The sequence below is a fragment of the Homo sapiens genome, chromosome 10, assembly GCF_000001405.40.
Source record: "Homo sapiens chromosome 10, GRCh38.p14 Primary Assembly".
NCBI lineage: Eukaryota > Metazoa > Chordata > Mammalia > Primates > Hominidae > Homo > Homo sapiens.
Window position 1 is genome coordinate 103711912 of NC_000010.11, and position 22085 is coordinate 103733996.

General features: G+C 52.0%; 1 protein-coding gene across 2 annotated transcripts in view, besides 3 other annotated features; it reads right to left on the reverse strand.

The window, feature by feature from the left end:
• SH3PXD2A (SH3 and PX domains 2A) overlaps nucleotides 1-22085 on the reverse strand; it is a 261550-nt gene that overhangs the window by 117885 nt on the left and 121580 nt on the right. For both annotated transcript variants that reach the window (NM_014631.3, NM_001394015.1), the window contains exon 5: nucleotides 12359-12450. In NM_014631.3, coding sequence (NP_055446.2) covers nucleotides 12359-12450 — 92 coding nt within the window. The remainder of the gene's footprint in view (nucleotides 1-12358; nucleotides 12451-22085) is intronic.
• Nucleotides 10670-11171: an enhancer, noted in NCBI's record as "NANOG hESC enhancer chr10:105482339-105482840 (GRCh37/hg19 assembly coordinates)". NCBI's record gives its function as "activates a minimal SCP1, AML or CMV promoter by ChIP-STARR-seq in naive H9 embryonic stem cells {active_cell/tissue: H9 hESC(naive)}" and the evidence as "EXISTENCE:reporter gene assay evidence [ECO:0000049][PMID:30033119]".
• Nucleotides 20282-20830: an enhancer, noted in NCBI's record as "H3K4me1 hESC enhancer chr10:105491951-105492499 (GRCh37/hg19 assembly coordinates)". NCBI's record gives its function as "activates a minimal SCP1, AML or CMV promoter by ChIP-STARR-seq in naive H9 embryonic stem cells {active_cell/tissue: H9 hESC(naive)}" and the evidence as "EXISTENCE:reporter gene assay evidence [ECO:0000049][PMID:30033119]".
• Nucleotides 20831-21378: an enhancer, noted in NCBI's record as "H3K4me1 hESC enhancer chr10:105492500-105493047 (GRCh37/hg19 assembly coordinates)". NCBI's record gives its function as "activates a minimal SCP1, AML or CMV promoter by ChIP-STARR-seq in naive and primed H9 embryonic stem cells {active_cell/tissue: H9 hESC(naive and primed)}" and the evidence as "EXISTENCE:reporter gene assay evidence [ECO:0000049][PMID:30033119]".

A 22085-nucleotide genomic window follows, 5' to 3' on the forward strand; every position in this document is an offset into this window, starting at 1 on the left:
TTATCCTGCCATGGTGGTGTGTGCCTGCAGTCCCAGCTACTTGGGGGCTGAGGTGGCCTGGGACGTCAAGGCTGCAGTGAGCCACGATTGTGCCACTGAGCTCCAGCCTGGGCAATGGAGAGAAACCCTGTCTCAAAATTAAAAAAAAAAAAAGGAAAGAAAATAACCCCAAAACCTCCCTCTGGGATCTTTTAAGGGAGATGGAACTGCTCTAAAATTGGATTGTGGTGATGGTTGCACAACTGTAAAAGTATTAGTAATCAATGAATTAATTGTACACTTAAAACAAGTACATATTATAGCATGTAAATTATACCTCAGTAAAGCTGTCTGGGGGAAACTCTCCCTCTGGCTCTGACCACTGAGCCATGCTCCGGGCCACATGTCCTGGGTGGGGTTTTGCACGTAGCCATCTGCGTGCCCTCTGGACCCATGACCAAATGGGCCATTCATGAGAGAGGGTGTGGGAAGCCAAGGGCTCAGTCTGTGGTTTGGGAGCGGGAAACCTGGTTTTCTGAGTGCTTCTAGAACCGGTTTCCCTGTGTCTGTTCCATCAGAGGAGCCTGTACCAGCCAGGCAGCACCCCTCCTCAGAGGCCTGAACCCTCCTGGGATAGGAAGCCCCTCCTTGGAGCTCCTGAGGCTGGGGGAAGGGTCTCAACAGGCTGCCCTGGGGGGCCTGGACCAGACTTGGCAGTCTCAGCAAACCTTGTACCTTTTCAGGGATGTGGCCCAGCAGGAAACCTGGGTTCCCCTTAAAAGATCCCAAATGTGGCACATGCCTTCAACTCTACCTTCAGCCCCCGTGGTGACCATGGCAACCATGGCGTCCTGATGCAGTTATTCTGCCCTTCTGTCTGATGAAGGGTCCCATCCTGAAATTTGGAGCTAGTTGCCCCAGCCAAGGGTCAGGTGCTTCTCACTTCATCCTCAGCTCACCCCCGTGTGGGGTGTGGACTTGGAGCTGAAGGGCAATGGCATGAGTCCAGCCTCTGACACTTCCTAGCTGAGAGGTAAGTCAACCAGTCTCAGCCTAAGGTCCCTCATCTGCAGAAAGGAGCATGGGCCTCCCTGGATTGTACGGATGCTCAAACAAGATAAACCATGCTCAAGGGTCCAGCACGGCTTTAGTACAGCATCAGCCAGACGCTGGGAGCTGTAATATCCGATATGGCCATGGGGTGGAGCCAGATACACATGTATCTCATGAACCGAGGGCTTCAAAGTGACCCAAAGTTACAGACGTGCCCAAACTCCAACCACCCTCAAGATCCAACTTACAGAGCCTGTGAAGGGGAAGGAGTCACAAGGTCTCTGGATGCTTGTCCCTTTCATCTCGGACTATGTCTATGAATATCTCCCATTCCCACAGCCATCCAGCCCCTCTCTAGATCCTGACTGTTGCATGCTTGGACCACTGCAATAGCCAACTGGTTCTGCTAGGACCTCAGAATGTCAGAGCCAGGAGATAGCCCAGAGACCCCTAGGTTCTGCCCATTTACCTGATGCTGAAGTGTAGCGATTGTTAATGACTGCCTCAGGCCTATCTCTTCTTGGCCTAGCCCTAGCCAAAAATCCCTTACTCTCACGGAAGATGAAATTTCTTTCAATCCTTGAAACACAATCTCAGGGACTCCCTCTGGCCTGGATGCCCTCCTCTGCCACTCTCCTTGAGTAGTGAGCTCTTGCTTTAGTCTCAGCCTGAATGCCACCTCCTCAGGGAGGCCTTCCTGACCACCTCAGCAGGCTGGTTTGTTGCTGCGCAAGGCCCTGCACCTATTACAATCAGTTGTTCTTTTTCTGTCTTCCCCATTATCAGCAGCTGTTATAAGCCCTGTTTTATAGGCAAGGACATTGAGGTTTTGGGAGTTTAAATAATTCCCAGGCCACACAGCAGGTGGGGGAGGAGCCAGGGTTTGCCAGAGCCTATAATGGTCTGCTGCCTCCTGTGGAAGCAAGCCAGGCCCATGCCATGCTATCCTCCCCCTTAGACCACCAGGGCCCCGAGAGTGGGGACTGAGCTACTTCTGAAGTCCCGGGCCTCACATAGAGATGATCTAGAAACACTTGCATGAACACACGCCTCCCACAAGAATGCAACAGAGGAAGGCTGGTCCCAGTGGCCGAAGACCCAGGTTCTAGGTTCAGTTCTGCCTTAAACTCCCCATGGAGGGGTAACTACCCAGGGACTAGGAACATGGAGGGTAGTGATAACCACAGGGGAACCAAGACCCACCTTGAACACAACATAACAGCAAAGCAGGCCTCAGCGCTCTTCCAGGGCTTACCCCTTCCGCCAGAGGCTCCAAAGGGCTCTGTAGGCCTTCCTTGGGGGTAAGAGAGTGGGCACATGGGGGTCTTGAGGTTTCAGAGAACATAGAATGCACAAGCCCAAGAAATTAATGGGGGACCCAGTCTACCCCCACACACTCCTGCACCAGGATACCCTTCCCTGCCACCTTCCTCCCCACCCTGAAGAAAATCCTGTGCCAGGCCTGAAAACAGAGTCATCTTCTCTCCCTGGACATGGGCCTCCCAGGCGTGTGCGCTATGAGCTGGGCTGGACTGGGGGTGTTTGAATCTGCTTCCCTCCAGCTCGCCGACCCAGCATGACAGCTGAGCCTGCAGAAGTCCTTGTTCCCCACGGCCAATGCCCCTTTCAAGTGGGTTGGACACAGCTTCCTGTGGGCATTTTCCTGCCACCTGCCCACCCAGGTTGAAGGGGGCATGGCAGGGGATGGACAAGGTTTATTTATCTAACGTTCTGTTCCCTCCCTCAGCCTCCCACAGCTCCAAGGTCCAGCTGGCCCTCCTGCCCATCAACATAAAGAGGCTATTTGTGCAGCAGCCAGTGGCAGGGGGCTGCAAGGACAGTGTGGCCCACGTCCCTGGCCAGATGGGTGGTGGCAGGGCTTTACAGAGCACACAGAGCCATCTTGATGATAGGTGTCTGACCAGAATGCAGCCAGGCATGTGTGGGTGGACTTTCTACCCCAATCCCCCAGGAGAGACAGGGACTTGGGATGCCCTGGAGTTTCCAACAGCCTGCAGGGTGGTAGGGGCAGCCTCGCTCCACAGGCAGCACCAGCCCTGGCCAGGACTCCCAGAGCAGAGAGGGATGCGGTGAGATGCTCCTCTCCCAGCTCTCACCTTCAGCTCGGCCAACCCAATTCCATTCCCCCAGCCTTTTTGGGGTGGCTGCTCTGTACCCAGGCCTGGGCTAATGGAGGAAAGGAGAAGAAAAACAGAAAATCCCATTTCCTGAGCTTTTGTGATGGGTTAAGTACATAGGGGCATTTTCTACGCATTTGCTCCCTTGAACCTCACAATCATTTTGCCACATGTACCACGGGGGCCTTGCACAGATGGGGAAACAGACTGGAAGAGGAGAAGTGAGCCATTCAAGCTCACAGGCAGAGCTGGGTGTCCCCACAGTTGCCACTGCAGTTAATTTAACTCAATTCACAATTTCAGCTTTGACCCTTGAGGTGATTAGCCTACGCGGTCCCTGGCATACAGCTGGCACTCAGTAACTACCTGCAGAGTGAAGGGAGGCTGCTGTGGAGAGGTTCCAGGGCTCTGTCCACAACCTTCCATTTGCCTCCTAGGAAAAGGAAGGGAGTAGGAGGGTGTATGACTCAGTGCCCAGTTTGTGATCCACACGCATCATCCCAATTCATTCTCCCCAGTGCCGGAGCAGTGACTCCGGGTGACTTACAGAGAATGGAAGGCCACGCAGTCAACCCACAGCAATGCTGCTGGTGAGCAGGGAAGCCTGGACTCTAACTCAAGAGGCTGGCAGCCAGACATAAGCCGAGCAGTCGCCCTGCCTTCCCGAACAGGCCAGACCTGGCATTCGACTGGGATTGGGGATGTGGGGCTCCTGGAGGAGACACCCCACATTCTCAGTGCTATTCCAGCTGCACTGCCACACACACCACCTTGCCCCTCGTCTTCCTACGGGAACCCTGAAGCAGGGCTGGCAGAGTTCATCTGTCCTCCTGGGCTCTGCTTCTCCCAGGCAAATGGCAGCAACAACCTCTGTCCCCCTCACTGGACTCCCCACAATTTTACCATGCAGTCCAAGATGAAACAACCATCCCCAAAATATAAATGGGAGGGGAGGATGAGAAAGTCATGCAGAGGAGAGTGTTTTCTTGAGTCTGACCTCCTCCCACCCCAGGCCCCAAGCAGCATCTGCCTCTGCCCTGGCCCTCCTTCCCTGGCAGCCTCCCTCAGTGTCCTAAGCCAGCCCCTGCACCACCTTAACCAGCCCGGCCCAGTTCCCAAACCTGTGCTCTGGCTGGGGCAGGCCTCCCGCAGGATGGCCTCCCCTTTTGGCCTGCCCTGGGGTTCCCCGCAGGAGGCAGGGACACTGGGGGTGGACTCTGCCCCATGGGGAGTGTTGGGGGCCCCTGATGGGCAGGCTGAGGCAGGGATGGTTCTGGCCTGGCCTCAGTCCATCCTCCTCTCACCCCAGGTCCCTCGGAACATTGGGGCATTGTTCTACTGTACAACAGAGGGTGGCTCTGTGGCCCTGGGCTGAAGAACAGAAACCAGTTTAGCAGGGCTATCTGCTCCTCCCATGCAATGTCAAGAATTTAACCAGGATCATGGCTGGCTTCAGCAGGAAGAAACAAGCCGAAGGGATAAGCCCAGGGTGAGAGCAGGAAGTGGGAGGTGACTGTCTACCCACTGTGTGGGCCCACTATGTGTCCCATCGTGGGTAAGAGGTGGGCTGGTAAGGCCAGTGGGCTGGTAAGAGGCCCAAGAAGAAAGATACTAAGTGAGTGACAAGAGCAGGGCAGATCAGCTCAGCCCTGGCCTCAGTTTTCCCCTCTGTGATATGGGTGCACCAAAGGCATGTGTGCCCACCCTGCCCACAGGCTTGGACTGCCAGCAGTGGTCAAGAAGGCTGCAACCTCAGCCCTGAGGCTGCAAAGGCAGCCTTGCATCTCCAGAAGTGGAGAACGTGTGTATGTATGTGGAGGGAAGTGATGTGGGCCTGCTGCTGCTGTGCGCTTCCACCCGGGATGTCCCCATCCCACCATGATGGGGACAGCAAACACTGGCCTTGGCAGTGCTGACACCGTGCCAGGTTTGTTTGGCACTTTATGTGTGCTAAAGCATCATCCTCGCAACTGCCTTTGGAGGCAGCAACGATTCCCACTCTACAGATAAAGGAAACTGAGGCACACAAGGGCCTTGCAACTTGCCTGAGGCAAGTGGCAGAGCTGGTCTCTGACCCCTGGCCCCCTGACTCCGGAGAGGTTGAGAATCCTCCTGGCTCTGCTCCCCGAGGTGGGCAGTTCAATGTATAACTCTATTAAATAGCCTGGCTTTATTTTGGCACAGTTGGGCAATCACCCAACACTTACTAGGTGCCAGGTCCTGGGGGTCCAGAGATGTGGGTTCCTTGGTGGGGAGAGATCCATAAACAGATCCCAAGGCTGCCAGGTTGCCAGCTCTAGGGAGGGCTTTCTGGAGGAGGGGCCCAAGCTGAGTCTGGAGACAGAGTAGGATGCAGTTCCAGAGCGAGTGGGGAGGAGAGGAGGGTGCTCCTGGTGGAGGGAACCATGGGGCAGAGCATGGAGGCTGGCGACAAGCTAAGAAAAGAATGAGGGCGTGGCCACTGGGCCAGGAGGCTGCAGAGATGCAAAGGTGGATCCTGGGGCCCTACGGCCAGATCTTTCTCCCACCAGAACTGCATCCTCCTGGGAATCTACAGACAGAGTTCCTAGCGTTCGTTTCAAAGACTTTTAGATTCCTTATTTCCACTGGATGAGAATTTAAAATGGAACACAAAGAGGCATTTCTGGGTCACGCAGTTGACCACGTGGTGAGTCCTGCCGGGCCAGTTTGGGCCTGCCTTTAGCTCCTGTTTGCCCTTGTTGACACCATATGGGAGGACTGCATCTGGGGGTGAGGGGCCTTGCCTGTGGAAGCAAGGGATTCTCAGGAGATCAGGCAGAGCAAAGCAAGGGGGAGCTGAGTCAGTAAAGTGGCCTCAGGACACTGTGCCAGGAGGCAGGTCATGCTCACAGTGGGGTCATCTCAGCTGCTACAGAGGGTGTCTCTTGGTGTGGCTTCCATGTGTCTTTTTTTTTTTTTTAAGATACAGGGTCTGTCTCTGTTGCCCAGGCTGGAGTGCAGTGGTGCAATCATAGTTCACTGTAACCTCAAACTCTGGGCTTAAGCAATCCTCCTGCCTCAGCCTCCTGAGTAGCGGGGACCACAGGCGTGTGCCACCATGCCTGGCTCATTTTTTTTCTTTTTTCTTTTTTTTGTAGAGATGGGGGTCTCACTATGTTGCTCAGGCTGGTCTCAAACTCCTGGGCTCAAGCAATCCTCCCGCCTTGACCTCCTGAAGTGCTGGGATTACAGGCATAAGCCACCGCACGGGGCCAAGGGCATGTCTTTATCTGCCTTCTTTGGGATTTGGTGACCAAGGGTCTCCTCATCCCAAGCTGTCACATGGCTCCCCAGCAATTCACACAGGAGAGACCAAGAAACTACATCAAGCTTCTCTTGCCCACCCCTGCCCATTGACCCCTTATGACTGCAGGGCAAAGGGCTGGGGGCTGGGGGGCTGGAGGGGCCTAACAGAACTGCACCCAGGCTCCAAGGCCTGCCTCCCCACTTGGCTGCATGGCCTGGGGAAGTCAGGTAACTGCTAGCAACTTCGCTTCCCCATCTGCTAAATGGGGATAATAACATCACCTTCGTGGGTGGCCTAATATTTAAATGAATATTTAAATAAGCATGATGTAGACTACAGAGGAGGTGACCAATACAATAAGGCAAACACTCTTCCTTTCCCTTTCTGCTCCCCTCCCTCCCCCCAATCAGGACACACACACACACACACACACACACACACACACACACGCACATACACCCCTATTCAACTGCTGACTTTCCAAGAACACACTGCTAGGGACCAAATGTTTGTGTCCCACCTAAATTCATATGTTAAATCCTAACGCCCAAGGTGATATAGTAGGAGCTGATTAGGCTATGGTCATTAGCCTCATGAATGAGATCAGTGCCTTATAAAAGAGAACCCAGAGAGCTTGTTTCCCTGTCCACCAGGGTAAAGATGACTATGAACCAAGAAGCAGGCCCTCACCAGACACTGAATCTGCTGGTGCCTTGGTTTAGGACTTCCCAGCCTCTTTCATAAGAACTGTGAGAATTTTATTTCTGTTGTTTATAAGCCACCCAGGCTATGGTACTCTGTTCCAGCAGCCTGAACAGACTGACACACACCATCCTCAAAGGAAAACATCAAAGGGGCTGAGGCCGGTACCCACCTACTCTGGCTGGGGTGGAGGTGGGGAGCGGGTGCTGACGAGGTTGGGAAGGCGTAGTGGGTGTGAGCTGAGTGATGGGTTGGGTCAGGGCTGTGGTTAGAACCGTAGGTCTGGGGCCAGCCAGCCTGGCTTGGATCTTGGCCCTGCACCTGCCAGTTGGGTGACTTCAGGTGAGTGGCTTCATGTCCCTGAGCCTTCAGCTCCTTGGTAAAATCATGTCACAGTCGTACTTACCATGTAAGACCATAGTGAGGGCTGAATGACAACAATCATTCATCCAACAGAGACCCTCTGAGACCCTGCTCTGGGACATGCACTGTTCTGGGTGCTGGGGATACAGCTGTGAACAGAACAAAGACAAGTTCATACTCTCCTGGAGCCTGTGTTCTAGTGGGAGGGGCCAACAATAAACACAGCAAGCGTCTTAGTCTGTTCAGGCTGTTATAACAGAGTACCTTCTTACACTAGGTAATTTCTTTTTCTTTTTTTTTTTCTTTCTTTTTTTTTTTTTTTTTGAGATGGAGTCTTGCTCTGTCACCCAGCTGGAGTGCAGTGGTGCGATCTCGGCTCACTGCAACCTCCACCTTCTGGGTTCAAGCAATTCTCCTGTCTCAGCCTCCCAAGTAGCTGGGATTACAGGCACGTGCCACCACGCCTGGCTAATTTTTGTATTTTTAGCAGAAATGGGGTTTTGCCATGTTGGCCAGGCTGATTTCAAAGTCCTGACCTCAGGTGATCCACCCGCCTTGGGCTCCCAAAGTGCTGGGATTACAGGCGTGAGCCACCGTGCCCGGCCACACTAGGTAATTTCTTAAAAACAGAAATTTATTGCTCACAGTTCTGGAGGCTGTAAAGTCCAAGATCAAGGTGTCAGCAGATTTGGTGTCTGGTGAAGGCTGGTTCCCCACAGATGGCGCACTCTAGCTGTGTCCTGCCATGGCAGAAGGGGCAAATGCTGTGTCCTCACATGATGGAAGGGGCAAGGGCCTTGCTGGAGCCTCTTTCATAAGGGCGCAAATCCCATTATCCTTCCGTGTGAGGAGGCAAAACCACCATGGCTGCTCTGTGCCAGGCTCATCAAAGGTGTCCATGAAGAACATCCTTTCTGTGCAGGGCCAGTGGTCTGGAAGAGCAACCACTAACTGACCGGAGATGGGTCTGGCTCTCCGCCTGCAGAAGCCAGCGAGTGGCCTGGGATCAAAGCCGAGGCGCTCAGGCCTGCTGCCCACCTCCCCCACTGAGTCTGGGCTGTGACAGACCTTGTCTTCTCTGGAAGATGGAAAGGGAAGACGGTCCCCCACCCCAGCCCCCATGAATTCTCAATGGACCCTGCAGCAGCACACTTGAAAGAAGCCAGGGGTTATCTACAAAATTCCAATTAAATCCACAGGCTTTGATAATTTGATAAGCCACTCCACAGTCGCCCCAGAGTCAAAATATGCTGTTACTCGATCCCGTGTTTATGTTCTAGGCTGGAGGGAAGGGAGGTGCACAGTCGCCTGGAAAGGTCCAAACAGCCGGAGAGGGAGGAGGTGCAGGCACTAGGCTGACACGTCGGCAGCCTGTCAGCCGAGGGTCATGGACAAGCTCTGGCTCTTTTGTGGCAGGCACACTCTGCAGGGGAACACAGGTCTCTCTTGGTGGGTCCTGGAGGCGGAGCAGAGACAGGGCCGGGCCCGGGGAGGGGGAGCCCCTCAGAACTGCCTGGCCACAGCTGAGCTCACTTCCTGAGCCTCAGACCTGTCTTGGGGCTGGAGGCATTCCTATTCCCAGGCCCATAACTTGCCAGACCAGTGGTGAACTGGCCCACGTGGCCAATACCACCTCAAGAAAGAGGCAGATAACCCCTGCTGGCCTGGTGATGGAGCGGCCAAATGCTTCACAGCCCCTCCCTGCAAAAGTCAGGTAGGGACGGAACGTGCACACATTCCATTCTGTTCCCCAGCCTTCCATGAACACAGGTGTGGAGCACTTCCTGTGCACCAGTAGCACCTGGCCGGGTTATTTGAGTAAACCCTCTTGACCAGCTCGTGAGTTCTGCATTATCTCATTTTAGGGGAACAGAAATGCAGAGACATTGAGCAAATGGCCAAAGATCACTGAGCCTTAAGTGGCAGGGCCTGGCCCCAGAGCCTGGCCCCACAAAGCCATGGCCTGCTGCCTCCCCAACAGCCAAGTGTCTTGCTGAGCCTGGTTTCCACTGTTCCTCAAGGGCCTCCTAGAGGTGGGCAAAAGGCTAACTTAATGCCATGAATGAAGTGAGGCCGACGGATTCAGCTGACTGGCAAAGAGCAGGTTTGGAGGCATGGATCACAGGCTGGGTCAGCTGCTTTTGTGGCGATACACCTGCTGCCTCCACCATCAACGATCCTGATCCTTTTCCCCCGTGGCCAGGCACACGATCACGGGGGATCCCAACAGCCACCCACGTAGGGAGGAGCATCTCCTCTCTCCCCATGCAAGGACAGAAAATGAGAGGCTTGGAGAGAACATCACAGCTGGGCAAGGGCGGGTCAGGTGAGGACCCAGGGATACTGCTGCCAGGCTCAGAGCCTTCCCTTGCCCTGAGGCAAGGCAAGGATGAAGAAGGAAGGGGCAGGAGCGCAGACAGGTGGGGACAGAAAGGAGATCCTGAGGAGCTTCAGGACCACAGTCCCCAAACCAGTGAAGCAGGTGGGAGAAACAGATGAATGTGGGCTTCTGCTTGCAACCTGGAAGTTCTGGGTTCAAATTCCCGCTCTAGCTGTGAGCTCCTGTTTTGTAATCTGTAATGTGGGGATAAGAATATACAAGCCCTGGCCGGGCGCAGTTGCTTATGCCTATAATCCCAGCACTTTAGGAGGCTGAGGCGGGTGGATCCACTTGAACTCAGGAGTTCGAGACCAACCTCGCCAACATGGTGAAACCCCGTCTCTACTAAAAATACAAAAATTAGCCAGGTATGGTAGCATGTGCCTGTAATCCCAGCTACCAGGGAGGCTGAGGTAAGGGAATTGCTTGAACCTGGGAGCCAAAAGTTGCAGTGAACCGAGATTGCTCCACTGCACTCCAGCCTGGGTGACAGAGCGAGACTCTGTCTCAAAAAAAAAAAAAAAAAGAATATACAAGCCCTGGTGCAAACCTCTCATCATCTGAGTTTCATGGATAACCCTTGGAGGTAGCAAAAACAGGGCTTAATCACTATTCCCTTTTTACAGATGGTTCCCTATTTCTCGCTATTCTTTCTTCTGAAATTTTACATTTTAAATTTTAATTTTTTGTAGAGACAAGGTCTCACTGTGTTGCCAGGACTGGTCTTGAACTCTTGGGCTCAAGAGATCCACCTGCCTTGGCTTCTCAAAGTGCTGGGATTACAGGTGTGAGCCAATATGCCTAGCTTTTTTTTTTTTTTTTTCAATCAGCTGAATTTAAGATTCATCCCTGTTTCTCTCTAAATGTAGAAACTTCGGCCAGCACTGAGCCACTAGGGACCACAGGAAGGCTTGGGGAAGTTACGAGGGATCTGCCTGGACATTACACAGCTAGTAGCAGCAGAACTGGGACGTGAACTCAATACTTTGCATCCTATACCCTGTGGCTTTCCACTGCTTCACGCTGTGAACCAAGCTACTGATAAGCTCCTGATGGTTCACAGTGCTTGTTTCTTGCCTGAGGCAGCCATCAGTGAAGATGGTCTTTGCTAGGCCAGGTGGGCCTCGGAGCTGCTTTTTCCTCCCTCGAAATGCCCAGGCTATTTCAGGCTATTAGTCTTTTAGCATGCGTGAAGACAGAAGGGTCCCTTTAGGCAGGACTGCCATGTATGGGTGTGCAGGCCACATATTCTACAACCTCATGGGCACATTCACAGAAAGTGCAGTGTGAATGGCACCTCCAGAGCCACGCAATGCTCACCCTCATCTTCAGGCTTTCTCCTCCCCATCACCAGGTTCCCCCTGCCTCTCCCCACCTGGCCCAGAGGGTTCCTGTGTCCTACTCTCTCCTTTCCCTCTGTAGTAGCCACCCCATCTGCCTCTCTCTCACCCATCCGGTACTTTAAGCTTCCAGGGGATAGCTATGGAGTGAGCTGATTCATCAGCATCCCCTTAAGTCCTCTCCCCAACCCTCTCTCTTACCCAACACCCCTCCCTGCCTTCTGCCCACCAGCTCCTGGGTGGGAGCTGAATTTTTCTCTCCAATGAGAACCTATGCTGGGGACTGCAGGTGAGCAGAATGCTCTGAGCAAGAGAGCATGGCCATCTGGATGGAGTCGGGTCCTGGGTGTGAGAAACCAGCATGGCTGAGTGGGCCATCTTTACCACCACCCACAGCATCCCAATTTCAGAGAGAAAAAAGACCTGCATGGTTCCCTGTTTCTCTCCAAACATGGAAACATTAGCCAGCACTGGGCCACTAGGAACCACAGACTTAGGTTCAGGTTTTGTCCTGTCTCCTATCAAACCATCTGCATGACTCTGGGGGAAAAGCACCTGACCTCACCGAGCCATGGTTTCCTCCTCTGTAAATAGGACTATTGAATATGGTAATGCCTATCATAAAATGCTATACATAAAAGATACTGGGTAAATTCATTATGATTTTTTATGATGATTATAAAATCTGTTGTAGCAGCCCAGGACTGCTGTTATTTGGCAGGTGAGTTTTCATCCTGGGCAGTGCACACTGGGACCTCTGCAGCCATAACAGCGAAGAGCAAGGACTGTGCTAGCCCTGAGTGGTCTCGATGGCATGACCATTATATTTTCTGTTATCTCATCTGCTCCTTGTAACAACCCTGTGAGCCAGAAAGAGTTTGTAGGAAAATCTGCTCCACAAATGCAGAGACACTCTTCCCTGCAGCCCTGGGGTAAAGGAAAATGAAGAGTGGGCTCTGGCACTAGGAGCCTGGGGAATAATGTCCCCCATTCCTTTGGACCACTGTTCTTTAGCCCGGCTGGCCCTGCTAGCTCACCTTCTGCTTGTGTTCCCACAGCCTCAGCCTCCCCAGGCTGGCCATTGCTTTAGCCCACGCCTCCCCAGCACACAGGAGAGGCCTGAGCTATTACTTACTCTTTTGGAGGGTTGACATCCTCGGGTCGAGCCTCGAAGAACCGGAAGACTTCGTCACACTGTGAGATGTGGGGGGGCAGCCGGACAAGTGCCTGTGGAGAGACAGGAAGAAAGGGCATTAGGTGTGATGAACTTGGGAACAGGAAAACCAAGACAGTGTCACCTTACACCAACAGTGACAGAGAGGCTCAAGAACTGAGCCATGGAAGACATGGTCAACCAGCCACCCACCTGTCCACCCAGAAAACTAATCAACAAATCAACCAATCAAATAACGAATCAAACAACCAACCTTCCTTCCTTCCCTCCCTCTTTCTATCCATTTCTCTCAACTAACTAGCCAGCCAACTAACTGACCAACTAACCAACCAGCCAATTAATCAACAAACCAACAAGACAACAACAAGAAAACCCCTAACCAGTTATCCAATCAACCTACCCATCAACCATCCAGTCAACCAACCAACCAACCAACCAACCATCCAACCAGCCAGTCAACCAACTAAACAACTGACTTAAACAAAAAAAAAAAGACCACTGAACCCTGGAACCCTGGGTCTTAGGGTCCTCAGGAGCTAATCATTCTGCAGGAACCCTGAGGGAATTCCCTTCTGCACACAGAATAAGTCCAAGATCCATAACCTAACAGTCCAAGGTCACGTCCTCCCAGCCTTGTCTTCCACTAGCCACGCTCCAGCTGCACCAGGCATTCACACTCCCTAAACACTGACCACAAAATTAATTATTTCATGACAAGTTGATAATTGCTGCCAAGGACAACAAAGCACTATGATGGAGTTTGATAGAACCCAAGAAGATGTGGAAGATGGGGAGCCAGTGTTTCAGGAAGGACTCTTTAAAGCTAAGTTCTGAAGGATGGATAACAATTAACTGGTCAAGGTGGAGGTGGAGCGATCAAGCATGTTGGTTTCAGGAGATGAATGAAGGCCAGTGCGGCCTGAGGACCCAGAGCAAGGGAGAGGGGCCATAGGAGGTGGGCAGGGGCATGACTAGCAGGGCCTTGTTTTAGGCCAAGCTGAGGATGCCTGGAGAAACAATGTAAACTGAAGAGTGTGGAAAGGTTTCTTAGAAGAGTGGGCAGGAGCACGGCTTGTGGAGTTTGCAGGGTTTGGACAAGCAGAGAGGAGGAGTGGGCATTCTATGGGAAACAGTAGTCATGGCAAGTGCGTGGGCCAGCTGTGAGCCTGTCATCCAGGCATGGGGAGAGTCTGCAGCTGGAAAGTGAGGCACTAGGTCAGGAGGTAGTCAGAGTTAGGCCAGGCGTGGTGGCTCATGCCGGTAATCCCAGCACTTTGGGAGGCCGAGGTGGGCAGATCACTTGAGGTCAGGAGTTGGAGACCAGCCTGGCCAACATGGAGAAACCCCGTCTCTACGAAAAATACAAAAATTAGCCAGTGTGGTGGAGGGCGCCTGTAATGCCAGCTACTCGGGAGGCTGATGCAGGAGGAGAATCGCTTGAACCCAGGAGGCAGAGGCTGCAGTGAGCCAAGATCGTGCCACTGCACCCCAGCCTGGGCAACAGAGCAAGACTCTGTCTCAAAAAAATATAAATAAATAAAATAAAAATAAAAATAAATAAAATAAAATAAAACAAAATAAAATAAAAAGAAGGCAGTCAGAGTTCATGCTGCACACCAGCACGCAGGACCCTGACCTGGCCCAGTCCGACATGGAGGGGTTGGGGGTGTAGGGTGAGGCCGGGTGTAGCCCCGTTTTCTGGGCCCCTCAATTTAGTATGGGGAGAAATACTGGGGCAAGGAAGGATCCCCTGGTCCAAACAGACAGGAGAGAACACTACCAAAGCAGAGCTGAGGGACGGGGACAGGGAGCCGAGGGCTAGAGCCAGGAGAAGACAGGAAAACCCAGGACTGGAGGAGTCAACAAACACAGGGTTTGTGAGAAACTCCTGATGAGACCTGGTCTATAAGACAGGACCCTGTCCCATACCCCTGCCTCCTGAAACCTCACACACCACGACCAGCTTCAGATGCAAGGCCTAGATCCAGTGGCTCCTGGGCCAAGTACAGTAAGTCTGTGAGTGTCGTTCCAGGAAATTCTCATGAGGGTCGTCCTCATGAGGGCACAATTCCCATCCCCATACTACGGGTGAGGAGACAGAGGTGCAGGGAGACATGTGGCCTGCCCACAGGCACCCACGGAGGGTGGGAAAGACTCACTGGAAGGTAAGCTCCATGCAGGCGCGATTTTAGTCTGTTTGGTTGATTTCTGTGTCCCCAGATCCTAGTAGAGTACCTGACAGAGCAGGCACTTGATTTATATTTGTTTAAAGAAATGAATGAAAAATGGATAAGGTAGTGAAGGTTTCCATGTCTATAAGCCCAATATCCAGTAGCTATGGGACATGATAGTGGGGCAAAAAACCCACATATAATCTTAGGTTGCATCTATAGAATTATAATATTGAGGAAGAGGAAAGTAATGGTTTAGTTATTCTCTGAGCTAGTTAGATAACAATTGAAGTGTGCCATCTAGCACCAGGCATCCTATCAAGATGGGCCCTTCTCGATGCCAAACCCACACCCAGGCAAGATGAGGTAAGACCAGACCATGGCAGATAAGAGAGCATGATGTAACCCTCAGTCATTCCTTTCAGGGGTCATGGCTCTCCAAGGGTCTCTGAAATAACACATCTCCATCAACAGGCAAAAAACAGAAAAGGAAAATTAACATTAAATGAGCAGCTATGTGTCAGGCCCTATCCTTGGCCCCTTGACTCCTCCAGTCATCCACCAAACAGTGAGGGCTTTGCAGTGTGTGCTGCATATGGGGCTGTGCCTGGTTTTACAGGGATGAGAGAGAGCAAATCTAATGACATGTCACCCCATTTTGTCCTGGAGGTAGACATCATTGCCTCCACATACGATGGGGACACTGAGGCTGCTGGGGGTGAAGCCATAAGTGAGGAAAGGGGCAGAATCCAGCCCCAAGCTGTGAAGGTCAGATGGGTGGAGCATGCCTCCAGAATATTCAAGTTCTCATTTAACGCACACTGTCCATGCTGTGTTCTCCTTGGGAAGGGTAGAAGGAAAAGGAAATGAAAAACTGAGGAAAGAGAGAGACAGACAGGGAGCAAGAGGGAGGGAGAGAAAGTCAGGGAGGACAGGGGGCCCCAGGAGAGAGTGCCAATGGGGTCGGGATGGGCAGAAGGCAGGAGGAAACCATTACCAGGGATCCCGGCTCTGTGCAAAGTCATTGCCGGGTGACCACCCTGAAAGGGAGAAGGAGGGACGCAGGGCAGGAGAGGGCGGGTTTCAGCGGCCCACAGCACTAGTGCCCTCCCCGCTCAGTGTGCTGCCACTCACCCTAAGCACAGACCCTGGCCAGCCATGGCTCACCCAGCCCTGGCAGGGAACAGAGGGGCTCTTCATGCCGACAGAGACCCACATTCCGGAGGCAGAGGACGCGTGGGCCACGAGGGCCTCAGACAAAGAGGCCTTTTGGTGGAACAACCGCAGCATCTTTATTTAACGGGGAGCCCTGAGGGGAGCCGCGTGGAGGGCTCGTCCTGATTTCAGGCTGACAAGAGGCTCTCAGCCCAGAGCAGCTTCCATCAGAGCTGCTGCCAAAGCTCAGCTCTGGCCAAAATCATTTGGCAGGAGAGAGTGATGCTGAGCAGTGAGTCCCCGCAGCCTGGGCTGGTGATGATGGCCAGGGCCAGGGCACCCCCAAGCCCAGCCGTTGTGAGAAGAGCAGAGTAGGGGGCCAGATAATGGGCATATCAGGGTTAGCAACCCCAGCTTAGGTCTAAAATTCTGCCATGAGACATTCATGATGTATGCCACGTGGTGGTAAAGTCAGGGCCTCAGAGCCTCAGGGCCTCAGAGCCTCAGGACCTCAGGGCTGCAGGCAGATGCAGGTTTGGGTCCTGGCTCTGCCATTTATGGGCTGTGTGAGGCTGGATGCATTACCTGCCCTCTGAGCTCTGGGATGTGACGTGGCACCTACCTAGCTGTTAGGAAGTTAAGCGAGATGAATATGAGAAGCCGAGCACAGTGGCTGGTGAAGAGTACACTCAGTAAATGTGAGCCGTGATAACATTAGTGTCATCGCTGCCATTGTCATTCTTTAGGAGAAAGCAGTGATGAACACTTGAAAGAGCACTGGAATGGGAGACAGGAGTCAATTCTAGTTCCAGTTCTGCAGTTATATACTTGCTGTGTGACCTTAGGCAGCTCACTTCACCTCTCTGGTTGTCATTTCTTCCAAGATAAAATGGAATCCCGAAGTATGTCTCATGGAAGAACTCCCTGATGAGGTGAAATGAGCTCTGTGAGCACATGTGAAATCTGCCTTGAGGGTCCCCCCATCTTGGCCTTGGGGATCACCATGTTTGTTACCATCACAAAGCCTCTGAGAAATCCTGCAGGAAAGAAACCTGTAGAGCTTTGTACAAGCCAGCATTTACTACTACTAACAATATCCTGTAGGACTGTGTCATTTAATCAGCACATCAACTCTAAGAGGACAGTATGACTATGATTTCAGTTTTACAGAAGAAGAAACTAAAGCACAGAGAGTTTACATAATTCCCTGAGGCCTCACAGCTAGTAAGTAGCAAAGAGTTGTTTTTTTTGTTTGTTTGTTTGTTTTTTTTTTTTTGAGACAAAGTCTCACTCTGTCACCCAGGCTAGAGTGCAATGGCCCGATCTGAGCTCACTGCAGCCTCCCCCTCGCCGGGTTCAAGCGATTCTCCTGTCTCAGCCTCCTGAGTAGGTGGGATTTACAGGCACGTGCCACCACAGCAGGCTAATTTTTTGTATTTTTAGTAGAGACGGGGTTTCACCAAGTTGGCCAGGCTGATCTCGAACTCCTGACCTCAAGTAAGTGATCCACCTGCCTCGGCCTCCCAAAGTGCTGGGATTACAGGCATGAGCCATGGCGTCCGGCTGTAAGTAGCAAAATTTTGAATCAGGCTGAGTCCAGAGCCTATGCCCTGATCCACTCCCTCCTGCCTCTAGCTTTACCCACAGGTATTTGACTGCGGTGCTGATTTTCCAGACAACTCCTAGTGACGCCCTGTGGAACACAGCTGAGGCAAATCCAGGTTCAAGACATTCTGAAGTTTCTTCCAGCTCTAACTGTTAATAGCTCTAACTAAACAGCACCATCACCAGTGAATTCATTTGTCTGATCTATCAATCAATCTGATTGAGACTTTCTAATAGAGCTCAGGTGAGCTCAGAGGGTTCCGAAGGCCTCAGGTTGGAGAAGGGCTGAAATGAGTACGACTTTCTAGCCCTCAGGTTCTGGGGCAAGTGGGAGGAAGCATTGCCCTGCGGGGCTGCTGGAACTATGCAGGTCCCTGGAGAATGTCAGCTGAGCTGGCCTCAGTCCCCCTCCAACCCTGCCATTCTGTAAACCAGGGGTCAGTGAGCTGGCTGAGAGCAGATCTGCAGAAATGGCATGCAGGAAGGGGCTGGGGTAGTGGGTAACTGGGTCGCGGGGACTGGTAATGAGGTGCTGAAGAGCCATTCAGGTTTTGCCATCAGCTAGCCCTGCCAGTTTCCCCATTTCCAGTCCTAAACTGTCCTGCAGTCTCCAGCTCCTGCCCCTCAAGACCATTTCATGGGGGCCATGACATGAGCCACCACTTAGCACTGAGTGTCATCATGGCCAATGATGCAGGTGTAAACAAGGGAGAGGGTGGCTGCATTGTGTGTCTCTAAGACCTCCACTCAGCTATGGTGAGCACAAGTGTGGTCTTTGCACATGCAAGTGGCACAGGAGGGGGCCCCGGCAGACTGTGCTCAGGCCTTCTGCCTCGAAACGGTCATCCTCCACAGAGCCCACCACTCTGGGTAATGCCTGCGTCAGGACAAAGAGCAAAGCTGTGCATTTGGCAAAACACTACAGGTGCCCACTCTTTACACAGGATCAATTGCTTCTCTCTTTTCAGCAGCATCAGTTTCTTTTCTCGTTTCTTTTTTTTTTTTTTTTTTTGCTCCTTCCTGCACACTGATTTTTTTTGTTTTTTAATTTTTTTAAAGCATCAGTTTCTAATCCCTGGAAATCTTGTGGGTAAAAGCCCGGCCGCGCTGGGTGGAGTTGGAGGTGTGGCACAAGGGGGCTGGCATCCTGCCCCTCTGGCCTCCCACCTGTGTCCTTCCAGCCCCACCTCTGGGGCTGCCTCTAACCTGCTTGGACTGTTCTTTCTAGGTCACCATCTAGAAAGCTGGGGTCTCACTGAACTTCTGAGTTCAGAGTATTCAAAACACATGGGTTTTCTTTTTGAAGGATCTGAGCAGCGACTCCCCTTGAAATGTAAATGATGTCTAATTCTTGGTAGCAGTTTAAGCCATTTCACAAGGGATCTTAGTACATCAGGGCCTGGGGGATATGTCACTCTCTGAGGAAGTTTTGTCTACTTGTGATCTTTCCATCTTGTCATCAGGCATTGGCTGGACAATCCCTTAGGGCTGGGCTTCCTGTTTATTAGTGAAGACACAGAGACGACAAATGTGGCCCTCAAGGAGCTCATAGTCTGGGAGAAGACAGACACACAGAAGTTACCCTCCTGCAGAGGAGAAATGCACAGAGTCGGGGTGGGCGCAGTCCTCTGGGGGCAGAATGGCAGGAGTGATCAGCTTTTCCTGGGGAGTCATGAGGCTTATGGAAGGGCCCACTGCGGAGACTGAATGTGCACCCAGGCAGGGGACCAGCACAGGCTCAGGGGCGGAGGCCTGGCTAGCTGGGGATGGCCTTGTGTCTGCCGGACTGGACTGCAGGATATGGAAGACAGAGGCAGGAGCTGAGGCCCCAGCAGCACTTGGAACCAGCCCACACAGGGCCCAGCTGAGGTGCTCAGATATTCTTCTCGGGGGCAGCAGGACTCCTCTGAAGGAGTCCCGTTTTTGTTTTTTTTTTTTTGAAACAGGGTCTCACTGTGTTGCCCAGGCTGGAGTGCAGTGGTGCAACCATGGCTCACTGCAGCCTCTGCCTCCCAGGCTCAAGTGACCCTCCCACCTCAGCCTCACCAATAGATGGGACTGCCGGCATGCACTACCACGCCCAGCTACTTTTTGTATTTTTTGTAGAGACAGGGTTTCACCATGTTGCCCAGGCTGGTCTCAAACCCCTGGGCTCAAGCAATATGCCCACCTTGGCCTCCCAAAGTGCTGGGATTACAGACATGAGCCACTGTGCCCGGGCCTCTGAAGGTCTTTAAGGAGAAAAGGGACATGATCTGCTTTATCTCAGCCTAGAAACTCCTTCTCCTGGGTCTACTATCTGGGTTGAGGGAGATGGTGAGGTTCTACTATCTGGGTTCCCCCAGAGAACCAGGCCACTCAGGAGGCACCTCATGAATGGATCAGCCTTGGGCTCTGCCTAAGACTCCCCATTGGCAAGGCCTCTCCTGGGCCAGGTCTGCTTTTAGAACAAGGACCACAAGAACAACATTACTCTCCTCAAGGGGAGAGCCAATGATTGGCTGTGGTGGAAAATCCCACAGTGGAAGGGAGAATACCTGGGACTAGGAACCACTGCCATGCAATAGCCTCAGTTTTCAAGTCTGGGAAGTGGGAATAAAAATGAATGAGTCTGGGAAGTGCAGAGGGGGAGGGTCAGGGGATCCTTACCCTTCAGTGCTGACCTCTTGTTGGGCTCAGACTTCCTGCCCTTAAGTCTGACTGCACCCAATCCCTCTTCCCTCCTACAAAGAAAGCCATTGATCCCTGAAATCAAATGTGTCATAGATAGACGAATAATAGAAACATGCTCAGCTATTTGGGCAGCAAAAAAATTCTAGTCGTACCAACCAGGAAGTGGTGACTTGGATAAATGTCATTAACATGTCAAAGGGTGAGTTGCTCATTCTCAAACACTCTCTCACACTCCTCTCTGAACCCCTCCCTAGAATATTCATTTTATCCCTTGGACAAACACTGCAAACATGTATTTCACCCCTAGGAACGGGGTAAATAGAGTCACTTAAAAAATTGTGAGTCCAAGCCTCTATGGTATAGCTTACTCTTGTTAGTCTGATGAAAGTCTTCGACTTGTTGAGGTCTCAGACCATTAAATATTAACTGCATTACCACGTTTCCGTTTAAATTAATTTATAAAGTTAAAGAAATGCCTTTGGAACCCCTCTTCATAGACACCTGACCCTCAAGTGCCACATAAAATGATCACTCAGTCGGCATGTGGTAAATTTTCCGTGATTCCCATCCAATCTGCTGCTTATATGTTAAAAATTAACACTGATATTGGGCTGTGAAACCGCCATTAGGTGGTGGGACTGGCTGGCCAGCAAGGGCAGGGAGCCCAAAGTCTGGGGAGGTCCACTGCACGGTCAGACTTTCCATGTCTGAGTCCTTGCAGGGAGCCGGCTGCTCTGTGTGCAGAGCCAGCTGCACAATTTTGGGTGCATTTGAATTCCCATCAAACCCCAGACTCTGAGCCCACATTGTCTAGCAGGTCGAAGGAAGATGACCAGCCAAGCAGGTGGGCTATGCAGGGCACTGTAAGTAGAGACTCCAGAGGCTCTAGGCAGTACGTAGACAAAGGCAGGTAGAGACAGGGGAAGGTCTGGCCGTGGAGCGGACTGCACACGGCACTGTGCTGGCTGGGGTCGGCCGGTGATGCTGAGTGGTCTGTCTGGAGGCCAGCTGTGAAATGCATAGCTAGGTGGCAGTGGCCATGGACTTGTCCCTAAAAACCATTCCAAGGTCAGTGGGTTTCTCAGACAATCAGACCACAGATCCCAGCTTCTTAGTTCAGCAGAATTAAAGGTCACTCTGTACTGCCCCACCCCCGCCATTCTCAGAGTAAATCACCGCCTGTGAGATAGATGGCTGTCTGCTTGGTGAGCCCATGGCCCCATTCCTTGTCTGGCTCTGGGCAGTTTCCATCTGTGCTAATCAGGTTAGGAGGTCCCTCCTCTTGCAGACCCCACTTCAATGGCTCCCCCAGCTACGCGTGGTACACTGGAGCTCCAGAGCCCCTCTGAATCAGGAGTCCTGTTCAAAGCCTGATCCCAGGAGATAAGATGCTATCACTTCCTCCTCCGGATGACCCAGCAGACAGCATTTCCTTGGAGCCCAACTGCAGATGCCTTGGGCTGGCTAATCTGAGCTATAAATCCCAGCTGGAAAAGCCTTCCTCCCGCCCTATGCCCCCTCCTCCATTAGCTTTGCCCATTTATTTAACTTCTTGAGAAAGGAAAAAAGAGAAATAAAAGCTCAGGCTACAGCCATCAATTTAACCAGAAACAGTGAATGCCTGTTAAAGAGAAAAATGAATATTGGTCTGAAGAAGAGAAGTTTCTAGCTTAAGGGAATCCAGCACTGGGGCATCCTTTTAAAATAAGGCAGAACATGTGACCCAAGTATAATGTTCACAGTCACGAAATTCAAACTTCAGTTTAATGAAGACTACATTGTCTTTTCTTCCTATAGGCTTGGGAATGCCAGTTAATAAATTTAGCAAGTTGGTTCTTAAACATTTTTTATTTATTTTATTTTATTTTATTTTTTTAGGGACAGGATCGTTCCCTGTTACCCAGGCTAGAGTGCTGTGGCGTGATCATAGCTCACTGTAGCCTTGACCTCCTGACTCAAGCAGTCCTCTCACCTCAACTACAGGTGTGTGCTACCACGCCTGGCTAATTTTAAACTTTTTTTTTTGGAGAGATGAGGTCTCGTTATGCTACCCAGGCTGGTCTCAAACTCCTGGCCTCAAGTGC